The 23,927-nt window shown below is 46.3% G+C and overlaps 1 long non-coding RNA gene across 1 annotated transcript; it reads left to right on the forward strand.

The window, feature by feature from the left end:
* The first annotated feature begins 6,631 nt into the window (after positions 1 to 6,631).
* On the forward strand, positions 6,632 to 8,327 carry LOC105372977 (uncharacterized). The gene is made up of 3 exons (NR_171770.1): positions 6,632 to 6,709; positions 7,596 to 7,646; positions 7,976 to 8,327. It is a non-coding gene; the product is annotated as an uncharacterized LOC105372977 (long non-coding RNA).
* Positions 8,328 to 23,927: the final 15,600 nt, after the last annotated feature.

Genomic DNA, 23,927 nt, shown 5'->3' on the forward strand with positions numbered 1-23,927 from the left:
GTTTAGGGAGGCACAAAGGATGCGATGCTCATAAGAGCCGCATTTCTTGAGCACCTACTATGGGATGGGCCCTGTGCTAGACCTTATGAGTGTTCGCGCCTAATCTTCATATGACCCTCCAAGGTAGGAGCTATTTTTGTGCCCACAATAATAAGGTAGCAGTTTATTAACCCATGCACTCATTCCATGAGGTAGGTACTGTTATTGTTCCCATTTCACAGATGAGGAAATGGAGGCCCCTGGGAGGCTGGCGAATACTCAGGTCACCTAGGTAGTAAGTGGTAAAGCTGGTCTGTCAACTCAGATGGGCTGATTCTGGAGTCCCCCCACTTACCCACCTGGCTGCAGCTCAGATGGGCCCAGCCAAGTCTCCCCAAGACAGCAAGCAGCCCCTGAGACGCACTGAGCACGCCCCTGTCCTCAGTACGGCTCCAAGCTCCACAGCAGACGAGTTTGCCCAGGCAGGTTCTCAGACTCCCCCCAGGCCTGGGGATAGGGACCTGAGCTGGGTCAACTGAAGCCGTGGGTGGCCTGGACCTGCTCTTAAATGGAGAACCCCATGGGGTTGTTTGTGCTGGGTGAAATCACGGCTCCAGTTTGGTCTCGACCTCTCCAAATTAAAGAGAAGTTAATTGACTTTGCGTTAGGAGGGGCCTCTTTTTAATTTCCATCTGTTCTGGATTGATGTGGCCACTGTTGAGTTAGCTCATTCTGGGAAGTTCCTCCAAAGAGGCCTTTCCATCCTCTTTCCATCCAAAGAGGCCTTGTCGTCGTCAGGCTGATGGGGCTGATTCATGGGCAGCTGCTTCCGGAGCTCAGAATGGGCTCCAAGGCCCCACAGCAGATAGAAAGGACCCCATTGAGCAGCCTTGGCAGCTGCCAAGGAGAACTCAGGCCCGTGTCACTCCCAGGCTGGGTGTCAGTGCAGGGTCAGGCAGGAAGATGCAGACTCACATACCTAGAGCACCTACTGCATGCCAGGCTATGCATTGTAAGTCCCCTTGCCTCTGCATCTTCTCAAAAGCCCACAAGGGAGACCTTTATTCCTTCTTCCATTTGGCGGGCCTTTTATCAGACATTTAGCAAATGCTTAAGCCATGTCCTGCTCCATGCTAAGCCTGAAAGGGTGCTTTGAGGAGCAAAAACACTCAAGTTCCTGCCCTAAAGCGGCCCACAGTCCAGTGTGGAGACGCTGATTGTCAAGTGCAACACATGCAAATCACAAGCAAACACATGCAAAATAGCGACTATAAAAAGTGGGTGGATGAGGGCTGCTTCTTCTCCCTAGGTCTATAATTATGGTTAAGAACCCCCTTTTACTAAAGACATTGAGGTTCCTAAACATAAGCAACAAGCCTGAAGGATAATGTCCACACTCCCTGGGGCAGGTTACAGGACCTCTACTTGGGGCCTTCCAGCCTCAACCCTAACACTCTACACCTTCACTACAGGGACCTACAGGCAGATATATTTGTAGCATATTTGCCTTTCTCCTCTCCTTCACCAAATTGCAAGTACCTTCTTAAATAAGGAGTGTTTTTTTACACCCATTGTCCCCTTCTCATGGCAGACTGCTAGTCCTAGTACAGTACTTGACATTTAATAGGTAGTCAGTCAATCTTTGGAGGATGGATGGATGAAAAGTTAGGTGGATAGGTAGGTAGGTGGATGCATGGGATTTGGAATGGGCAGATGGAGGCATAGATGCATAGAGCAATGGTTGGACAGGCAAATGGTTAGATGGTTGGATGAACAGATGGATGAATGAGTGGTTGGCTTGATTAATTCATGGATGATTAGATTGATGGATGGATAGGTGGTTAGTTGGATAGACGGATTGATGGATGAATGAATGGACATTAAGTCTTTACATATTTATTTTTATTCTTTGCTATTCTAGCATTACAAATCAATGCATTTTTCTTTAATAGTTCTAAGAAAGACAATAATGAGGTGAAACTAATATTTTTGGCCTCCTTTCACCCATATGTCCTCCTCCCCACTCATTTCTTGGGAATGCACAATATCCTTTTAAATGCTCTGATAAGCCCTGCGATAAATAAAAATTTAACTTTATGTAACTGAGAGTTTACCAATTTAGTCAATGACAGCTTTTATTTTCCCTAAGACCATTTGACACACCTGGATCTACTCTTCTATGTACAACCTTGTAAATGTAAGTATAAAACATCTTCAGAATTTTTTTTAACTTGGCAATCCCTTACTTCAAGTGTTTCTATGATAGGAAAGCTACTTCGTGTACGTGTGTCTCTGTGTGTGTGTTTGTGTCTATGTATGCCTGTGTATGTGTGTATCTGTGCATGTGTATGCCTATATGTGACTCTGTGTGTGTGTGTGTGTGTATTCTGATGGCATGGTTTTATAAACACTATACCAGGAGAAAGGAGGTGTTTCATGCCCACTTTGCTGGTGATGAAACTTGCTGTGTGACCTTGGTGGTTCAATCCTCTCTGGTCTCCATATGTCATCCATAAAAGTAGGAACATGATGGGCGTGGTCTCTAAATTCTCTTCCAGTTCCAGCCTGGCTCTGCTGCATGATACTGCCTGCCTCCCAAGGGATGCGTCCATATATGGAGGACCTGCCACATCCCTTCCTGGGCTGCCCTCTTTCCAAAGATGCCTGCGCTTCTCCTCTGTCTAAGGAACAGACTTGTCACAAAGGGGTAAATTACCCATACCTGCTCCAAATGTCTAGACACCTTGATGCTATGACTCAATTTTCTTTGCCAGCCCTGCAGGCCTTCGCAGAGCAGGCACGTTCATCTTCCTAGCATGGCCCAGCCCTGCCAGGCATTCAGCTCCCAGCACCGGCTGCTCTGTCCCAGCTGCATGCCCCCACCTGCCCCTCCACGGAGCAAACTAACCCATCACTGTGTTTTGACTGCAGCCACTTGCACCCGCTGCTCTGGTTCCTCCTGTCTCTTGGGAATCAGCAGTGACTGAGCTGACAAACTCATTCTACCCCAAGTGTTCCCATAAGCTCAGAGCAACAGCACTAGGATCATCATCACTACAGTCCCAGTGAGGACTGCCGGGGACCCAGCCCAGTCTCCCTGGGCCCAGGGGACTTGGGGAAGGTGTCTGTCTGACTGGAGATGGACAGCAGGGCACCTGGACAGACTGAACAGAGGCTCAGCTCTCAGGCTCCTGAATGAGAGCTCCTGAGAGGCTGGTGATGGTCACTACCAACCCCAATCTCCACCATCAAGGTGGAATCTGTCTGCACCTCCCGTTCCTTGAACAGAGCTGGCCAATGAACATGGTAAAGGGAACCAAAAGACACCTAAAATCCATCTTCCTAGGACTTCCCAAGAATCCCAGCTTGCCAGGAACCTGCTCCATGGATGAGGAGAGCAGCAGGAACCATGTCCAACACTGGCATATAATAGGTGCTCAGTAAATACCATCCAATAGGCCTTTGCTTGCCACCGCACCATTATTTTATGTTTCACTAAGAAAAAAAATCTACCAATTAAAACATGGCATGTCATGCATTGTATGATGAAACTTGTTTCAGAGATACTAAAAGCTAAACAAGCACACTTGAATCAACTACATAGGGTATCTGTTAAGTGAGAGGATGAATAACAAACGGTGGGAGGTTTAGGTTTACAGTTTTGTATTTACAGATCGTGCTGCTGCTGACTTGCTTTGTAACCTTGAGGAAATCACTTTCCATCCCTAGACCTCAGCTTTCTCACTAGTCACGTGGGATTCACCGTCCTCTCCAGCAACCCCAGAAAGCTACTGTAGAAATCAGATAGGATCCGGGCAGCAGCAAATCTTCAAAAGCTGCAAAGCCATTGAAATAGGAACCCAAAATGGTCAGTCAACCAGTGAAATCCTCATCCAGGGCATTTCCTGTCAGTGTATTTGCTGTGTGACTTCGGATAAGTTGCTTTGCCTCTCTGGGCTTCCATTTTCCCCAGTATCACCTATAGAGACAAAGGAATATCTATATACACACTATATAGGTGTATATATATGATATATATGATATATGTATATATATGACATATATATGATATAGGTGTATATATATGATATATATGATATAGGTGTATATATATGTATATATATGATATAGGTATATATATGATATATATGGTGATATATAGGTATTGATATCTATATATACACCATATATATGATGTATATATAGATCTATATATACATCATATATATACATACACACCATATATATACATATATATACACACCATATATATATACACACACACACCGTATATATACATACATACATACATATATATATATATATATATCTTGCAGGGCTGTTGGGAATATTAGAGGAGGTGATGTTTGTAAGGTGCTTAACACCATGCCTGACACATGGTAAACCAGGCCTATGGCCACCAGCTGCCGTTGGTGTTGGTACACATATTCACATTATCTGAGTGGTGGGAAACATGCTTCCAGCGGCCTCACTCCCCATTTTCTTTAAATCACCATTTGCATCCCCAGTGTCTTGTAGACAGTAATTTGCTCATTGAACAATCTGATGAATGAAAGGATGAATGAATGAATGAATGAATGAATGAATGAATGCATAATCTTGGATGTGCAGGTAAGGCTGAATTCTACAGGCATAAGCTTTTTAAATCACTCACAGGCAAAACAAGAAACAAATCACCTTGGAGATCATGCAGCCTCACCCCCATTTCATTAGAGAAGGAAACTGAGGCTCCAAGAGGTTCAGGAAGTTGTCCAAAGCCACACAGCCCACAAGTAGACTCCAGAACAAGCCCCCAACCACCACCCCCAGTATTTCTCCTTCAGCCTCAGACCCTGGGCCAATGTCCAGTCTCTCTCCGACTCCAGTGACCAAGGACACAGTCTTCCCAGGTTAAGCATTGTTCCATTCTCCCTGACACAAATGCTTCCCAAGGAAGCCCTGGGTGGAGAAACAGCCACTGCCTCCGGGGCCTCAGACCTGGCCCCATTATTATTCCTCTCAGTGTAATAAATACATTTTAAGAGAAACAGATGCTGGAACAGTTGGACAGGAAGGGTCCAGGCCTGTGAAGAGGAATCTGGTTTGTGAAAATCTGTCTATTTGCCAGACGGTGAGCAATATGCTGCTGCCAGCCAGGTCTGGGTCCGGCTGCCAGGTAGGCTAATCGAGCCTTCCCGCCGTGCCTGTGGGTCCTTCCAGACCACCATCCTCAGGCGCTCAAATGGGCATCCAGCTGTCGTGCCTGCTGCCAAGGACCCCAGGATGCCGATCATGTCCCCTTAATCACTTCGGCCACTTTTGTGGGAGGGGCACCTCCAACTCAAAACCCAAAGCAACTTACGCAAAGTGTGGCAGGGATAGGGAGGCATCTTCCGATTCAGACACACCACCATCCATGAGTGGCTTTTATCTTCCATCAATGTCTGAGGATGCTTGTTACCTGCAAATAGCTGCCTCGATACCTGACCCTTTGAAAGCGTGATAGGAAAGGGTCCCCTTACCGCCTTTTCTGTCTAGCAAGTCTCTTCACTCTCCCTGCATCGCTGCCCTGTTGGAAAAAAAGAAATGTGGGCTAATTTACAAAAGGCATCTTGGCTGCTATAGGTGCAGGCTCCAGCTTCCACGAGGTACAGATACCCAGATCAGACTTTTGTCCTGGAATCGACACCCCATCACACACATTCTCCGTTGGCTTGAGCTCATAAATCCCAGTGATTTTTGGCAGGCCCGTGGGCAGGGGCAGGAAAACAGAACACTCAGTGTATGGCCTGACTTCGTGTCCTCATAGCCGTCCAGCAAAGAGAAGAGATTACCTCCACTTTGCAGATGAGAAAGAAGAGGTTCTAGGAAGAACGCAACCTGCCCAAGGTCATGCATCCCAGAAGGGAGTATTGGGGTGGGGACGGGGACACACAGGGCTGTCTGATTGTGATTTCTCGCCTCTTTTTGCTGACTCAGTTGCCTTTCTAGGAACAGACTAATAACTCTCCTCCACCCTCCCAAAACACCGGATGGAGATGAAGATATTCCACTATTTTCTTCACATGCTCTGTAGTCCTAAGCAAAGTGAGGCATTCGTTTGCTTCTGGGAGAACTAATACCAAGAACCTCTTTTTCTTTCTCCTCCCTTCTTGGAGCTGCCCCACAGAGGGGCATTAAATGTATACTAAGCTTTCCCCTCAATACATTTGGTTTTCAGTATTCTTTCCCATTGTCTCCCAAAAGCTAAAGAAAAGCCCTGGTAATTCACGAATTCTGCATCTGAATTATATTTCTCCAAGGAGTCCTTGTTCTTAGAAGTGGTAGGAAAATACTTCGTGTGATTGTGTAACCTGATTTTTTTTTTTTTTTTTTTTTTTTTGGTGGTGGTGGTGTCGGTAGGGAGATGAGAGGAGCTAGTCTTTTCTAAAACTGTGATAATAATAATGGTCTCACTGCCTACCATGTGTTGAGGGCTTAATGGTATTCCAGGCTCTGCACTGAGCATTGTGCAAGCATCATCTTATTTAACCCTTTCAGCCCTGCTAGGAGATGGCTGCTGGCATTGTCATGTCATAGTGACAAGAAAGCAAATCATATTTTTGTCACTTGCCAAAAACCACACAATTAGAGAGTGGCAGAGCTGGAATTCAGTTTCTTAAGTGCTGGGTCATCTGTGCAGCTTCACTGAACTTCCATCCCACCTTCTTTGGCCTGGAGAGGAAGCAAAGTTAAGCAGGATATCTCTTTCTTTCCTTCTTTCCTTCCTTCCTTTCTTTCTTTCCTTTCTTTTTTTCTTTTCTTTTTTCTTTTTTTTTTATGACGTCTCTCTCTGTCGCCCAAGCTAGAGTGCAGTGGCACAATCTCGGCTCACTGCAACCTCCGCCTCCCAGGTTCAAGCAATTCTCCAGCCTCAGCCTCCCTAGTAGCTGGGATTACAGGTGCTCACCACGATGCCTGGCTAATTTCTGTATTTTTTTTTTTAGTAGAAACGGGGTTTCGCCATGTTGGTCAGGCTGATCACGAACTCCTGGCCTCAGGTGATCCACTCACGTCAGCCTCCCAAAATGCTGGGATTACAGGCGTGAGCCACCGCACCTGGCCTAAGCAGGATATTTCTAGACTCTCTTGAAGCTAGGCTTCTGGATGCAGATTTGTTCCTGCCAATGAGAGGTATTGATGTGAGATTTAGGAAGCTAATGTGAGTCCATCCTCTAGCAGTTTGTGGCTATTGCTATCGGCAAATAGTGTGGTGGTAGTAACTGGAGGTTTTCCTGCAACGGGGACCTCACTTCATTCTCCCACATCCTAGACATCAAGAGGCAGTGGTGTTAGAAATACAACAGCGCCTTGCATCTGGCATAAGTCTGGCAGTAACTGTCCAAGTGCCTCTGCTCTGTGTATTCTGGGAGTTATTCTAGGAGACTTAACCTAGAACTTGCTCCTTCTCTGCTTCCAGTGGTCTTACATGCCCTGGATTCCCTGTGTTAAATCCCTTCCTGCTCAAGATACCTAGGCTGGATTCTGTTTCCTGCATGGAGCCTGGACTGATACATTGGGTGGCATCAGGGAAACCCATTCTAGTTTCTGAGCCTTACTTTCTGTACCACTTGCAGAATCATAGAAAGGCTGTAATGAGGGAGTGGAAGCAAAAGAGCTTTCCAAAGGTAAGTCTTTCTGCAGATATCGTGGCCCGATCAGAAGGTACTCTTCCAAATAGAAGACATGGGATGTAGTTTCCCCAGTAAATGGCCCATACTCACCCGTTACTTTGAAAGCCATTATAGAGCCTGCTACCTAAACAGCTCGCCAAGGACTTGGAGAGCACCTGGAATATGGAACAAGGGGCAGGACAGGCTTTTAGCTCATGTCTGTTTCTGCTCCTCTTCACTCTTGATTCTACCACCTGTGCCAGCTCACCTGGGGGCCTTGCTATGATAGCACAGTGAGGAGCTCCTGACATGAGCTACATAACCCTTGCCCTTCTATCTTACAGGAGACATGGCAGAATGCCCCCAGGAACAGACTCCACCTCACCACTCTTGAGATGTTGCAGCTTCAGGAAGTCTGCAGTGCTGATCAGGGACCTGCAGGATCTTGTTCACCTAACAGAGAAATAGGTCTGAAGCAGACTACTATGAGAATGAAGTCAGCTATCTGCCAGGATGCCTCAGCCACCATCAAGACTTTTGTGTGCAGAGAAACAGGATTTAAGAGGGGAGGGACTGAAAGGCTGTGGAAGCCACTGGGTTCAGTCATCCATTCAATCCACATTTTTTGACCACTCCTTATGTGCTAGGCCCTGTGCTTACACTCAGGATTTAATAGTAAAGAAATTATTGGACCCCATTGGGCTGATAGTATTTCAGGGGAGAGAGACGTGAACATGGTTATACATGAGGGTGATTAGTGTCAAATTGTGGGAAGCAAAGTGGGTGGGGTGTGTGTGCTGTGGAAGCCCAGGGAAACCACCTGATTCAGTCAGGGGCAATCAGGGAAGGATACCTGGAAGAGGTGACACCTAAGCCAAGACTTGATGAGCATATACGAATATTTTTGGCAAACAGTGATGGTGAAGTGAGGGGAAAAATGCTTCTAGAGAGAACAGCCTGAGTGAAGACTCTGGAATGAGAATGAATTTATCCCAGGACTCAGAGATGTTCAGAAGTGCTGAGTAAGGGGTGATGGGGAGAAGAGCAGAGCCAGACCTCACAGGGCCCTGGAGACCAGGCTAAGGAGCATGGCTTTGTTGTGAGGACACTGAGAAACCATGGAACGGTTTTGGGCAGGGAAAGGTGTTACAGTTATTGATGGTTGCATAAATCCATAGAGCTTCTATTTCTCTAATAGACTATTTTTTAGAACAGTTTCAAATTCACAGCAACATTGTGAAGAAAGTACAGTGAGTTCCCACCTATCCCTCACCCACCAACATAGCCTCCCGCACCATCAACATCCTTACAATAGATGAACTAACACTGACATATCATTATCAACCAAAGTTCATAGTTTACATTCGGGTTCGCTCTTGGTACTGTACAGTCCATGGTTTTTGACAAATTTATAATGACACGTATCCAGCATTATAATAATGTACAGAATAATTTCGCTACCCTAAAAGCCCTCCAGCTCCCATGGAACTTTTTTAAAGGAAGGATTTGTGGGTTTCTCTCTCACATCTATAGAACTAGAATGCTTACAGGTAAGTCCCAGGAATTTGCATATTAATGTTTCCCCCACTTATTTCCATATAGAGGGTGAAATTTAGACAGCTAATCCAAGCCATGATCTGTCTACAGAAACTTCTGGATGATACAATAGCTAAGGCCTCTTCTCTGCCTTGGCCTGGAAATCCACTTCCAGTTGACTTTAGAAATAACCAAGCAGTTCTCATGGGACCCCGGTGGCCTTCCCTGAATGATTGGTGTTGAGAAAAGATCCTTCCCCCTGCAAAGCTTTTTCTTCCCACCAGGGCTGTTGGACTTCTAGCCTTCCTCTAGGGACACTCAGCAGAACTCTTTCAGGGGAATATGTGGTGCATGATGACCAAAGTTTAGAAACAAAATGAAGGGAAAGAGCAAAAATACATATATCTTCTGGAGTTAGCTCCCCCCATCTTTGCTATAGTAGTCAAGATTCTCGCCTGTAATCCCAGCACTTTGGGAGGCTGAGGCGGGTGGATCATGTAAAGTCAGGAGTTCAAGACCAGCCTGGCCAACATGGGGAAACCCCATCTTCACTAAAAATACAAAAATTAGCCAGGTGTGGTGGTGCACACCTATAATCCCAGCTACTCAGGAGGCTGAGACAGGAGAATAGCTTGAACTCAGGGACGGAGGTTGCAGTGAGCCGAGACCATGCCACTGCACTCCAGCCTGGGTGACAGAGCAAGTCTCCATTAAAAAAAAAATTCTCAAAGTGCTGTAGCAGCTTCCTGTACACTAATGAAAGCACACTTTATGCATTAATGCATGTGGCTCTTGCCATGTCTAAAGTGGAAAAAAATATGACTTGGATCAAGGATGGAAGATTCTCATTCAGTAGAGTGAGTTCTTTGTAAACTAGGAGGTTTTATTATTTCTTTCTGTATCTGTAGTGCTAAAAGGTTACTGGGCCAGGGGGAAGCTTAGTGAGTGTCTGTTGAATGAATGAATGAATGACTTAAATAGTGAAGAGGAGACAGTTTGCTTCAATGCTTGGCACATATAGGTGCTCAATTTAATGACACATTCTTATTGTGAGTCCTAGGTCAGCTGTCAGAAGCCTGGGTTATTAATCTGGCATTACCTTTAAGACACTATAAAATGGTGGGTCAGTCTCTTTTCCTCTCCAGACCTCAGTTTCCTCATCTAAAAGATAAAGGTCCTTCCAGTTCAGGCATTTTATGAAGTGGAAGAGAATTTGGCACTGACTTTTTTAAAGAGGTCTATACACACAGTGAGACTACTACATACCCACAAGAATGAATAACATGAAAAATACTGACAACATCGAATGTTGACAAGGATGTGGAGTAACTGGAACTCTCATACATTGTTGGCAGGAATGTAAAATGGTACCAGAATTTTGGAGAAACATCTTATGTGGTTTCTTACAGCACTCAACATAGTCCTACCTTCTGACCCAGCAATTCAATGCTTAAGTATTTACCAAGAGACATAAAAATAAATGTTCACAAAAAGATTTGTATCACAATGTTCTTGAAGCTTTATTTATAGTGGCCTCAAACTGGAGATAACCCAATGACCATAAACAAGAGAATAAATAAGTCAATTGTGGTATATTCATACATTGGAATCCTACACAACAGTAAAAAGGACAAAGTACTGCTACATGCAACAACAAAAACCAGTCTCCAAAACCTTATGTTGAATGAAAGAAGCCAGACACAAAAGAGTACAAATTGTATGATTCTACTTACACGAAGTTCCCTCTATACTTTACTCATATACTTGCCACCACAGCCCTGTGATGGGTATTGTCCATCATACCCATTTGACAGATGACAAAACTGAGGTTTGGAGAGGGAAGTGAGTCATCTAGGAGGTAGCAGAGTCAGGATTTGAACTTATGACTCTTGAACCTTTTGAGATGCAGCTCTACCTGTAGTGTAGATCAAGGACTGAATGGTGGCTAAAGCCCATTGGATCCATAAGTATGAAATTAATTCTGATATTGACACTAAAATCCAAGGTTTTTTTTTTAAGGTATATTCTGTGCTGCTTTCAGGAAAAAAAAAAAAAAAGAGAGAGAGAGAGGGAGAGAAGAAGTGATTAAGTCTGCCTTCCTCCTGCCCACCCTTCCCCTAACACTTACCCTTTCAAAGGTCCATCGCTGGTCCCATAGGCATGGGTGTGGGGTTTATTGGCATCTACAGCAGCTGAGATGAAGCCATTGCAGGCCACATAGTGCTAAAAATATTTCAAAGTTCACAGGGGAAAGAAAGGGAGAGGAGGGAGCGGTGAGAAGCAACTTTTGCCAACTCTGAAAACAGTTCCGCCCACTAAGTCTTCACCGTGCAGAAGGGGCCAGATCAGATTAGGGCCACCAGTTGCCACATTATCCTGTCTTGAGTCCACTAACTCTCACTAAGCTCCGAAAATCCCATTTACGGTGTTTAGGACACCTCTGGAGGAGTTTGCTGTGTAAATATTATTCCACCATTAAATCCTACAACCAGGCCACCGTCAACAAGTGGATTCGCAATGGTTACGCCAAGGGGGGCTGCGCTGGGGACCTGTGAAGTGCGGCCAAGGGGCTCGGCCCAGAAGCCAGCATGAGTGGTAAAGCGCCTCATTCTCCGACTAAAGCCTCCTGCCACTTGGGCCTGCTTAATAAAACAGGGCCGCTGGGGCACTCGATTTGGGCTGGGAACCAAATACACCTCAGGAGCCACTTAGAGCTAGGGCCTGCCTTAGACAGCTGGCGTTCCTTCTTACCAACCTTAATCTCATGCAGGGCCCTTGTGGGCTGCAGCCCTCTTGGCTGAGACTGGGACTTACCTCCAGTATCTCCCACTTCGGCAGCAGAGCTGACGTGGGCATCGTTCTGGGGAGGTGACTTTTTCCCAGCCGGAGGCAATTTTGCTTTGGGTGCCCTTTCTGTTGTCTGCAAGCCCAGACCCTTTCTTTATTAATTTGTGTATTTGGAGGAGGGAAATGGCTGGATGACGAGCCATCGATTATTGTGGATGGATAACCGATCTGACTCAGCAGATGCTGCTGTTGCTGCTGCTGCGATGGCTGTCACTGTTTTTTGCTTTTTTCTTTCTTTTTTTTAAAATTAATTAATTTCCTTTTAAGCTGATTTGCAGATTGCACTTCTGGGATGTGGTGAGCAAGGATGAAGGACTTAAATTTGAAAAGTGCCTAGCTCAGGTATGGTAGGAATTCATCATTCCAGAATTGTTCTTTGCACTCAACAACGGGCAAGACAAGCCTGGTGCTCTCACAGTGAGAAATCCAATGTTCTGAACCTAAAGGGGTATGACCCAGGTAGGTCCTGACACACAGCGGTGTCCAATAAATGGGGACTGAGGCATATGAAGCCCCAAGCACCACTGTGTCTGGCACATAGCAATTGCTCAATTAACATTCTTCTTTCGGGAGTTTGAGCCCCAGCTCAGTCATGTTTGCAGCTGCGTGATGTTGAGAAAATCCCTTTCCTTTTCTGAGCCTCCGTTTCCACATCTGTAAAATGGAGCTTATATCTGCAACGTGGAGCTGCTTAAAAGGTTCATTCATCCACACACGGGCTTGTTTAATATGTAGTTGTCGACTACCTACTATGTGTTGGTGCTGAGGGTTTTGTGATGAATAAAACCCAGTGTTTCCCTCAAGGAGCTGGTGGTCCACAGAGGAGTTAACAGGTAATTAGGATGTTCTGTTGTCAGTGCTGTGATGTGGAAACCCTGATGAAAGGCCCTTAATGTAGCCTGCCCACAGGACAGGGGGTGACCAGCAATTACCTCCCAGAGCAAGGTTTAGCAAACTACTGCCCCCAGGCTAAATCTGGCCCACTGCCTCTTTCATACAGCTCACAAGCTAAGAATGGTTTTTACACTTTTAAATGGTTTTACACAATCAAAATCATGTTTCATGCCACTTGAAAAGTATACGATATTCAAATTTCAGTGTCCATAAATCACACTTCATTGAAACATAGCCATGCTCATTCATTGGTGTATTGTTTGTGCCTCTTTGCACTTTGACAACAGAGTTGAGTCGTGGCAACAGAGACCAGGTGCCCCCACGAAGTCTAAAATATTTACTGTCTGGCTCTGTACAGAATAAGTTTGCTGACCACTGTCCTAGAGGAAGTGATATGTGAGCCAAGCCAAAGGACAGGGAGAAATTGGTCAGACGGAGATGGATGAAAGGTGTGAGAAGAGAACCTGCTTTGCAGGTTGCAGAAAATTCGTGGCATCTTCAAAGATGATGCAATTCCTGTGCAACAAACTGCAAAGTACCATACCAACTTGAGTGAGTATTCAGAACAGTGGAGGACAGGCTCATCACCAATCTCCTTAGAGAAAGTACCAGGGGAAAAATCATGACACAACATCTCATTTATTCAGCACCTATTTGGTCCACTGTAGTTTTCCTAACACTCTCATATTCAGTCCTCCAAATGGACCTGAGAAATGGGATCATTAACCCACTTCACAGATGAAGAATTGGGAGCTCAGAGAAGTAAAGACACCCAGCCAAGGTCACACAGCAAAACAGAGAACAGAATACCCAGGCTGTCCCCTTTGCAAATTCATGTTCCAAACCCACACTCATAAACCAGTCATTTGTCAGCCCTTATCCTGTAACGTTAAAAAACTACATGTTGGTAAGAAACAAGGAAAATAAATGAAAAATGAAAGAACTAGAATCCAAAGTAGATTTTTTTTTTTGAGACAGGGTCTCATTCTGTTGCCCATGCTGGAGTACAGAGGCGTGATCACAGCTCACCGCAGCCTCGACCTTCTGGGCTCAAGCCATCCCCCCACCTCAGCCTCCCAAGTAGCAGGGACCATAGGCATATGCCACCATCCTCTGCTGATTTTCTTTTTATTTTTTGTAGAGATGAAGTCTCACTGTGTTGCTCAGACTGGTCTCGAACTCCTGGGCTCAAGCGATCCTCCCACCTCAGCCTCCCAAAGTGTTGGGATTAGAGGCATGAGCCACGGCGTTTTGCCCAAAGTAGAAATTTTGCAGCTACTCTCCAGCCTCCAACATCTTGGATGCTGTATCCTCTTCCCTCCCCTCAACTCTTGCAAGTCCTTCTGAAATCCAGCTACACCGCTGGGAAGGAGAAAGAGAAAAATAAAAATAAGCCAGGCTTCCCAGAAAGAGCCAGCAGGAGAGAGCTCTCTGAGATGGGTGGAGAGACGCATCCCTGAACGCAGCAGAGTTGGCAGGCCCAGCTCCCGGCAGCTGTTGGCTGCGCACAGAATAAACACAAGCGGATGGATGGGTTCGGGCAGGGAAGCCACCTCGCCTGGCGGGCTCCAGGCAAAGCCGCGAGGCGCGGGGTGGCAGGCCTGCCAGCTGACGGGAAGTGACTCGGGCGCGGGGTTTGTGCTTTTGGCTGCTTGGCGCAGGTCTGCGCAGCATCGGGGCATTGGTGAGAGACATAGGAAGCTATGGAAGTGGGAGGTCCTGGCAGCTCCTGTCTGTGTGTCCTGGGGTGAGACTGTTTACCCATCTGAACCTCAGTGACCTCATCCATATGTGGAGGTAGCAGTACCCTCCTTTGGGGACAGTTGTGCAGTGGACATTAAGAGGTGCTGCTCGGATCCCTCTTCGAGGAAAGTCTCATCGTCCCAGCATCTGGGAGTGCTCGCCTTAGCCACTGGCCCCTTAAGGGATGGCCCCAGCTCCAGAACTTCATCTGAGGTCATATCCTTGTGGGGATAGGAGGCCTTCATCCAATGACTGATCCATGTAAGTTATAAAGGCCTGGATGGCACTGAAGGGCTATTCTAGCTTCAGGGCTGCCCATGTTGTTGGCTGAGGCCATTGTTCAGCCTGCATCGTGACTCAACTTCTCCCTCCACCCACTTCCCCTCTTCCCTCCCTTCTGTGGGTGTCAATCCGAAGAGTCTTCCTAATAAATGACATGCATGGTAAACTCTGCCTCACTATGCTTCTTGGGCACCCAACTTGGGACTATATGCTTGAGAAATTGTGTTTGGAAAGCACCTATGGCCCAGAGGGAGCTCAATATGTGCGAATAAGCAAAAGGGAGATGAGAACTGCAGAGGAACCTACTTCAACATGTCCACATCCCTCTTGATGTTAAAGATAATGAACAAAGTAAATCAGCAGAGCAGGAGTCCTTTTCTCACACATTGGGGCATTTGTTCTGCCATCAAACACTGAAGCCCAGATATGCACCAGACATGCACAAGCAGCTAAAGGCATTATTATTCCCACTTGACAGAGGTGAAGACTGAGGCCAAGAGAAATGATTACAATCTGGCAGATTATGCTGCATGATCATTTATTCATTTATTCATAAAGTATTGAGTGCTGGGCTCTGGGGCAACTGGAGCCTGCTCAGAGCCCAGAAGAGAGACACTAGGTGAGCCCAGCAATGAAAATGACACAAAGTTTGAGAAAAGTACGATGCACACATGCAGGGGGTGATTAAGGGATAAAATGGGGGAACCTAAGGTGGCCAGGAGGGGTCACAGCAGGATTGAAATTGACATCTTCCAACTCTGCTTCCTCAGCTGCCCAACAAATTTCTGTTTGGAGAGGTAAACTGGAGAGGCTGGGTTCTCAGCCATCCCTAGCTTCTTCCCACTTCTGTGTTTAAGAGCCAACACGAAAACCCCAAATGTCCCCACCCTCTCTGCAACTGAGGAGCCAGAATCCCATAGCTGAGTTTCTTCTCCAGCCAATCCAAGACTTAGCAAACGCGGTTGTCTCCAAAGCAAGATGGCCAAGTTTGGAAGCAACTCCAAATCTTCCCTTTCCTCTGCATGTCTCCAGCGAGTGGACAGCTTCTCTTTCCAGTAATCCAAGCCAAAGTCATCTCTCTCCCTTTTCCTCCTTTTTCTCTCATAGGCTGAAGCATCTGTCCTCTGCAGAAGCTCTTTCCTCCTCTGAAGTCCCCCACCCAGGTCTTTTTCTTGGCAACATCAAGATGCTTTCTCAGCATGGGGAAAAAGAGTCTAGAAGGGTCATGGCTCAGTGGCAGCTATTGGATTCCTGGGAAAAGCCAGGCTCAGAGTGTGAAAGAGAGAGAGGAGACCATCAGAGCTATGTGGATGCAGTGGTGAGTGCAGCAGAAATGCCCCTTCAAAGCCACAGCCTTGGGAAGCTCTCCCAAAGACAGCCTGGAACAGTCTCACTTGTACCAGCACAAGTCCCAGAAAGCCTGGCCCCTGCCCAGGTCTGCAGCCTCCAAGCCCACGGCTCCATGTAAGTGCCCCAGCCTGCACTGCTGCCAAGTTCCTCCCCGCTCTTCCTTCTGTCTGGAATGCTGGTCCTCCTGTTGGCTAGGACCAATAGATTCTTCCAACTGTAGCTCAAGTAGCACCTCCTCTGAGAAGCATTCCTGGCCAGCCCTAGCGCTTTCGTACCTCTCCTATAGACCTCTTCATGTAAGAGCACTTGTCACACTGAATTGTCATTGTGGGTTGACTCATCTTCTTCCCTCACCAGTCTTTGAGCCATTTGAAAGCAGGGAACACTGGAGTTTACTCATGCTGTGACCACCAGAAGTTAGTTCAGAGCCTGCACATAGTAGGTGCTTTGATGTTGTTGCCCGACTTCACCAGGGCTCCCCTTCTCTCTTTTTATCTTGGCTTCATCCTTCAAATAGGCCTCAAATTGTACCTGGGATGGCCATCCACCTTCCTGAACTGGTACATCCCTTGCTTAGTAACCCACCAAGAGAAAAAAAATCTCAGGGAAGATTCTCATTGGTCCAGAATGGGTCATGTGCTTCTCCCTGAAACAATCACATGACCTGGGGAAAAGATGGCTTTGATTGGCCAGGTCTGGGTCACATGTGGCTCCTGTGGCTGGCAGTGAGATCAGCTACATCAGGAAGCAGTAAAGGAAGCAAAAGGAAGCAGTGGTTGTATTTCTGGAAAATGAGGAGGAGTGTGAGACAGGGAGAGACAACATATTTCCACCATGAACCATGTAGATCAATCTTGGGGGGAAAAGATGTGTGTTTGCTTTACCAAACTGATTATTTTGTGGAGTAACTGGTGATTTTCTCCAAAAGGAGAGATTCTGAAATTCCTCTGATAAGAGCCTATATTGGGTTGTGAATGCACCTAGTGAGCAGTTGACAAATATTTAAGAATGAGGCTGGAGTGTGAAAGGCCTTGAATGATTCAAGATGTTTGATCCTGTAGCTGAGCAAACTACAGCCCTGGAACTGGCCATCTGTTTTATAAATAAATCTTTATTGTAAAACAGCCACACACATATTGTCTATGGCTACTTTCACTACATCTGCAGAGTTGAGTGGTTGTGAAAGTGACCGTATAGCCTCAAGCCAGAAATACTTAATGTCTGACAATTTACAGAAGGTATAGGGACAATGGGCCATGTGGTTCATTGGGTGGATCTGTAAGTGGTCGCTGGCCCACTGGTCTTTCTCTCAGGTGGGGCTCCCTAGAAACAGACCCTGAGACAAGGAAACCAGTGGGAGTTTATTTGGAAGGTGATCTCAGGAAGCACCATTAGGAAAGGGGCAGGGAGTCAGAGAGGAAAAGGAAGACAAACTTTAATAGGGGCATTAGGAGTATGTTATCATTGTCAACCAGAGCTTAGTTCCACTGGGAACTCTGGGAGTGGCATAGATTAAGTACTTCTGTGGGGAAAAGGAGCTGGGGTATTTATACACCAACTCCCACCTGGGACTGGTTGAGGACTGTTCCTAGGGCAGTGTAAATTACTTGGCACTTGCATCCTTGCCCATGCATGGGTAGAGCAGGCTCACAGCCAGAGGAAACCAATGAGCCACAGGTGCTGGCAAGCATGCCCTCTTCCCCAAACCCAGGGCAAAGAATCTGGCCCTAGATAATTCCTTGAGGCTGATTTTCTTCAGCTTCTGATGGAGCTGTCTTTGTGAACAGTCTTGAGGAATTCCCAGGGGAGGGCTAGTGGTGGCAGAAAAGGGGAGTGGTTTACACTCCTGGATTGTACAGGTGTTTATAGAATGTCTATGATACGTCCATGAGTTTCCTGGCACATCTGTGGGAGGCAGAGCCCCTCTTCTGCTAAGTACTGGCAGTGAGATCTGGAGTGAGTTTCTACACATTTCTAAGCCTAAATTTCCTTTTCTGTAAAGTGAGGCAACAAAGCTTCCCTGGCAGAGTGATTTGAGGATTAACAAGACACTTAGAATGGCTCCATCATAAATTGAGCCTCAATTATTATTATTTCCCATGTCCCTGGATTCTCCTCTGCCCCTCAACCTTTCTTTTGCATGCCCAGGGACTCTGTACCCCTGGGAATGGAACTCCACTAGGTGGGTTTGGAAACAGTGGGGCTGGAGCCACAAAGCCAACACTCCCAGTGGGACTTGGGGAAGCTGCTTCACCCCTCTGGCCTCAGTTTCCTCATCTGCTGATTTGGGATTGGAGTATCTCGTCTTTTCTGCCCACAGAGTTGGTGGGTGTGAGAATTGAATGATGTGTATTCAAAGTGAGTTGTCAACTGTAGAGCAATGGGATATTTGTTTATTGTTTGCATAAACGTTTTTTGTTTGTTTTGTTGGTTTTTTTGTTGTTGTTGGTGGTGGTGATTTTTCTGTCACTGTATGTGTGTCTGTGTCTGTGTGTGTGTGTGTTCTGTCACCCAGACTGGAGTGCAGCAGCATGATCATAGCTCATGCAGCCTCAACCTCCTGGGCTCAAGCAATCCTCCTACCTCAGCCTCCTGAGTAGCTGGGATTACAGGTAAGCACCTCCATGACCAGCTAAGGTTTTTAATTTTGTTTTTGTAGAAATGGGGTCTTGTTATGTTGCCCAGGCTGCTCTCAAACTCTTGCCTTCAAACAATCCTCCTGCTTTGGCTTCCCAAACTGCTGGGATGACAGGCATGAGGAATTATGCACGGCCTGTTTGGTTTTTCTTATACACGTGTTTCCAAACACATGTATAAAACGTGAGCTCCTCATATCCCAAGTAAGCAGCACCTGCGGCATAGTAGATCCTCAATAAGTGTTTATTTAATAAGTCACTATGCCTGGCATATAGCAGGGCCTTAATACAAGCTCAACAAAAGAGTCAATGAATGAATGAGCAAATGAAATGCATCAGTGAATCAATGAGCGCGTGTAGAGAAAGTAGCCCAAGATCTAGGGTTCCTAAATGGTAGCTTTTGCTCTGCTTTTTTCCAGCTGTTGGACCTTAAGCAAATCACTTTCCTGATCCAAGCCTCAGTTTCCCTATCTGTAAAATGGAAGCGTACCAGGAGTCCTTCCAGCCTGAAAATTGAGGACTTTTCTGCTTCATCCAGACAGCCCAGGGTGACTTTGATGCCACTGGTTTGTCTCCTGGGCCCTCCGGGACCCAGTTGAATGCTTCTTTTTCCTTCAATGTTGTTTGCAATGTGTTTTCTGGGCCACTTCTTATCTAGCATTTTTGCTTTCCTCCACGTGTTAGAATTAACCAGTGGAGTAGAATTCCTTCAAATCTGCTTATGTGTCAGCATCAACATGGTTGATGGTCAAATGCAGAGTCCTGGGCCCTACATCAATAAAAGGTCTTACTAGGTCTTACGTCAGAATCTCAGGGAAGGAGGGTCCAGGCACCTGCATTTCGGAAGCTCCTCTCGGGATGCCGAGGCTGCTAACATTGGGAACCCCGGCAACTGTGATGCAGTGCACAGGCTCTGGGCTCAGGTTGGCACATCTCACTTGCTGAGAGGATTTGGGGAATTATCTACTCTCTCGGATCCGTGCTTCTCTCCATTGTAAAAGCCCTCGTGAGCCAGATGCGGTGGCTCACGCCTGCAATCCCAACACTTTAGGAGGCCAAGGAGGGCAGATCACCTGAGGTCAGCAGTTCGAGACCAGCCTGGTCAACATGGTGAAACCCCATCTCTACTAAAAATAAAAAAGTAGCCTGGTGCCTGTAATCCCAGCTACTCGGGAGGCTGAGGCAGGAGAATTGTTTGAACCCGGGAGGCGGAGGTTGCAGTGAGTCAAGGTCGCACCGCTACACTCCAGCCTGGGTGACAGAGTGAGACTCCATCTCAAAAAACAATAAATAAATAAATAAATAAATAAAGCCTCTGGTCAGATGAGGCTTAAACGAGACACAAATTCAGGCTATCATGACCAGTCCTGTGGCAGGCTTGAACCCTGCCCCCCAGCTCAGGAGTCTGCAAGAAATCACAGCTGTTTATTTTCTGTAAATCAATGTAATTTCTTTCTCCAGCCCCCATTCCGTTGGGCTAGAGGAAAACATAATATAAGGCAGATATTGAGAAAGCTCAGTCCCCACCTGTACCCCCAGGGTGGTGCCATAGCCAGGGTCTTAGTTTTAAAATATCAGAAAGCCAGGGATCTTTGTCAATTCTCTGCATGGCTTGTACCCACCCCCGAATGGTGACGGTAGAGCTGGCAACCTGCTTGAATGAGATGGGGAGAGAAAAAAAGATGCAACCCGGCAGAAAACAGAAACGCGCACATACCGACCAACAATTTCCATTCAAAATATCATCCAAACCCAGTCCCTCTACTCTCCCATCTCACATTGTTGAATTCGACCTTTCCTTATTGGGTGGGTACCATTAAAGGATCATTTTTAAATAAAGGCAAAATCACGACTCTCGTGCAATTACAGAATGAACACCCATCAGAGATTTTATTTAAAGCATTAATTAATGACAGAACAAGGAAAATGGCACAACTGGTTCAAAGGAGAATTTAAGCACCACACATAGACATGCAGGCAAACACAAATGCTGGCATTCATTTACAAGTAGATACGAAATCGGTCAATAACTTGAGGATAATAATCAATTGCATTCCACTGGACACAATTCATTTGCATTTCTATGGCACCAAGCATTTGTATTACTATTGGTTTTTTTCTTAAGCTTCGAGAGTTAGGAAATAGCTCAAAGATGATGAAAGGCATAGATATCCTGGAGAGTTATGCTAGACAGAACATTCAGCAATCTTTATAGATTTTTTGGCCCATATCAACATCTTTTATAATTTTTTCTGACAGTACAGTGCAGCCACCACCATCCCAGAGAAGAAGTGAGGGGCTATGTTGTGTTTCCTGGACCTCTGTTTCTTAATCTGCAAAATGGGCATGATAAGAGCCTTTGACAATCCAGAGACATGAGGTCCTGCTGGGACAAGTACCGTGGGAAACGTGAAGTGCTAAGGGACAGTGTCCCAAACCTCAGTGTGGCCCTCCTTCCTGATTTAGTTCACATCCTTGTTCTACCTTGGAAGATTTATTTTTTTTCCTTTATACCAACTTTGATTTGATAATACCCTTGAAATCAGAGAATGAGGTGCTGATTCTGTATGTTTTTTTTTTCTAATACATATGAATATAGACAAAAAGCCATTGAGATAAGAAAGGTAAGTTCATTCTTGTACCAACTAATCCAGTGCTCTGTGGGAAGTACAGGATTAGGAAGAAATTAAATGATAGCCTACAAACACACACACACACACACACACACACACACACACACTCCACTAACCACCACCACCACCACCGCCGCCACCACCAATGTATTCTGCAAATTCATATACAATTTGCAAACCTCCTCCTGAAATAAGAGAGAGAGGGCAATTGAAACTATCTAAGGCAGCACTTGGAACACGCAGGCCAAAGACTGAGCCAGGGAGGGATTGTTATCACATGGGCTGTGGGGAGGCAGAGCTCCCCTGTGTCCCCGAGAGCACCCCTCCCCGGGGCCCCACCAGCCCCCAACTCGCCTCTCGAATTCCCACCTCTCCCCTTGCTCTGCGCCTTTGGAAACCCAGACAGCGGCCCCACTCCCGTGATTCATCCAGCAGGAATGTGGGAGTTCTCGAATTGCTCCAGCTAAAGCCTTTTAATTCCCCTTCGGTGATGAATGGGTGAGGCCCTCAAATGAAATGTGGAGGCTCCCAGTCCCAGCCCGCGGCCCTCCCCCTCCTCGGCGTAATTATTTCTGTGCAGAACATGTCAAGTGCCCTGCTTCCCGGGAACTTGTTTCGCATGCAAACATTTGGTGATTAAGCGAGGCTTACTTAATTAAGCACTTTGTAATGACTCTTAAACCAAAGAACAGTGGATTAGGAGTCCAGTTCGTGCTGGTGATGGGAAAGGCAGCTTCATATCACAAGGAGGCAGACAGTGATCTGGTGTGGGGAGGCGGCCGGGCCAAGCGGGGCAGAGTAGGCGCTCTGGGAACTCTGCTAGAATCACTCATTCATTCATTCAATCAATTTATTTTTGGAGCACTTCTTGGAGCCAGAGTAGCTGGTGAACAATAATAATAATAATAATAGGGCCAGGCACTGTGCTAATAAGTCTGCTGAATAACAAGAGTGAGGAGGAGCCAGAGATAGTTATTGAGAGCTGACTCTACTAGGCATGAACTGCTAGTAGTAGTGACGGCAATAATAAGCATTTTCATTGCAGCAGCAAATCCTTGAATAGGATTTTGCTGTGGCCCTGCGTGCCCTGAAACTGCTGGGTTTCTGCCATGGACTTGGCCTTTGGAAACAGCCCCCATCTTTGTTGCTGTCTTACTGACTCACTGGCTTCTCACCCACCAGTGGCTCACTTCCCACATCTGTGTAATGGGTAGTTGGATCTAGATCTTCTCTAAGATGCTTTTGGGTCTTAGGAGCCTAGGGTGTCTCCTCTGCTTCTGGGGGCCACAGGAATGGTGGCGCCACTTTGGGGGCCTCAGCTGCAATATTGCAGAAGGCTTCAGAGCCCAGCCCTACACAGCTCCAGGACAGAGCAAGGGTGACTCTCAGCTCAGACCTTCATAAATTGTGGGACCTTCACCAGGTAGCTTGTCCTCTCTGACGGACAAGTCCTTCACCTCTCAATTGAAATAACCCTTCCATCTGCTTCCAGGGCTCCTGTAAGGGAATCACACAGACTCATGGACATAGATGCCCTTTGAAAACCATCTACCTGGTGGCAGAAGCCATCATGTCTCAAACTTGGACCCACGAACACACCCCAATGTATTCACTTGTCTACTTGCTTTGGTTTTCTCATTTCTACCATAACCCGGAAAAGGGTTCTAATTGCCTTCTAACCTGGGAGATCATCTTAGAACAAAGGGCTTCCATGTGACTTCAGTGCCTGAGTTGATATTTGCTTTCGCAGTTGTGAGATTATTGAGTAAAATCCAAAGGATCTCACAGCGTGGTTCCAATGAAGATTCTGCTGGTGTTCTAAGAGTAGTATGTGATGGAAGAGCTGCCTCATCACGTAGCAGATGAAAGCACAGTGGCCTCCGCAAGGTCCAGCCCACTGCATCAGTGCCAGACTCACACGTGAGTGGACACTAGACTCCAGCCCTTCACAGGCCAATGGGCAATCACTCACTGGCAATGAGGGAGGCAGGCAATATGCAGTGAAAACCTTTCTCTCTTTCTGATGCCTTCAGTAATTGTAATAGATGCTCATTTAATGGTGATTTCAAAAATCTGGCTTATGCAAAGCAGACTACCTTCTTGTGTACTCATGTGATGCCTCGTTAAGTTCAGTAGATTAAGTGAAATCTGATTTAACTGAGGTCTGATTATCCAGAGCTAACAGGCTAAAGTTTCCCATTCCACATACCGTTTTGACCAATACCCCATTTCAAAAGGCATTCTTTGCTTGGAATTATACAAGTTAGAAAACAAAAATAGAGTGTGGCAGCCACTGGTACTCTCCTATCCCAAGTCCATTCTTCCCTTTCTCCATAGCGACAGGCCCCTTATTTTATCTGAGGTGCTAATACGCT

This window comes from Homo sapiens, chromosome 22 (genome assembly GCF_000001405.40).
Source record: "Homo sapiens chromosome 22, GRCh38.p14 Primary Assembly".
Classification (NCBI taxonomy): Eukaryota; Metazoa; Chordata; class Mammalia; order Primates; family Hominidae; genus Homo; species Homo sapiens.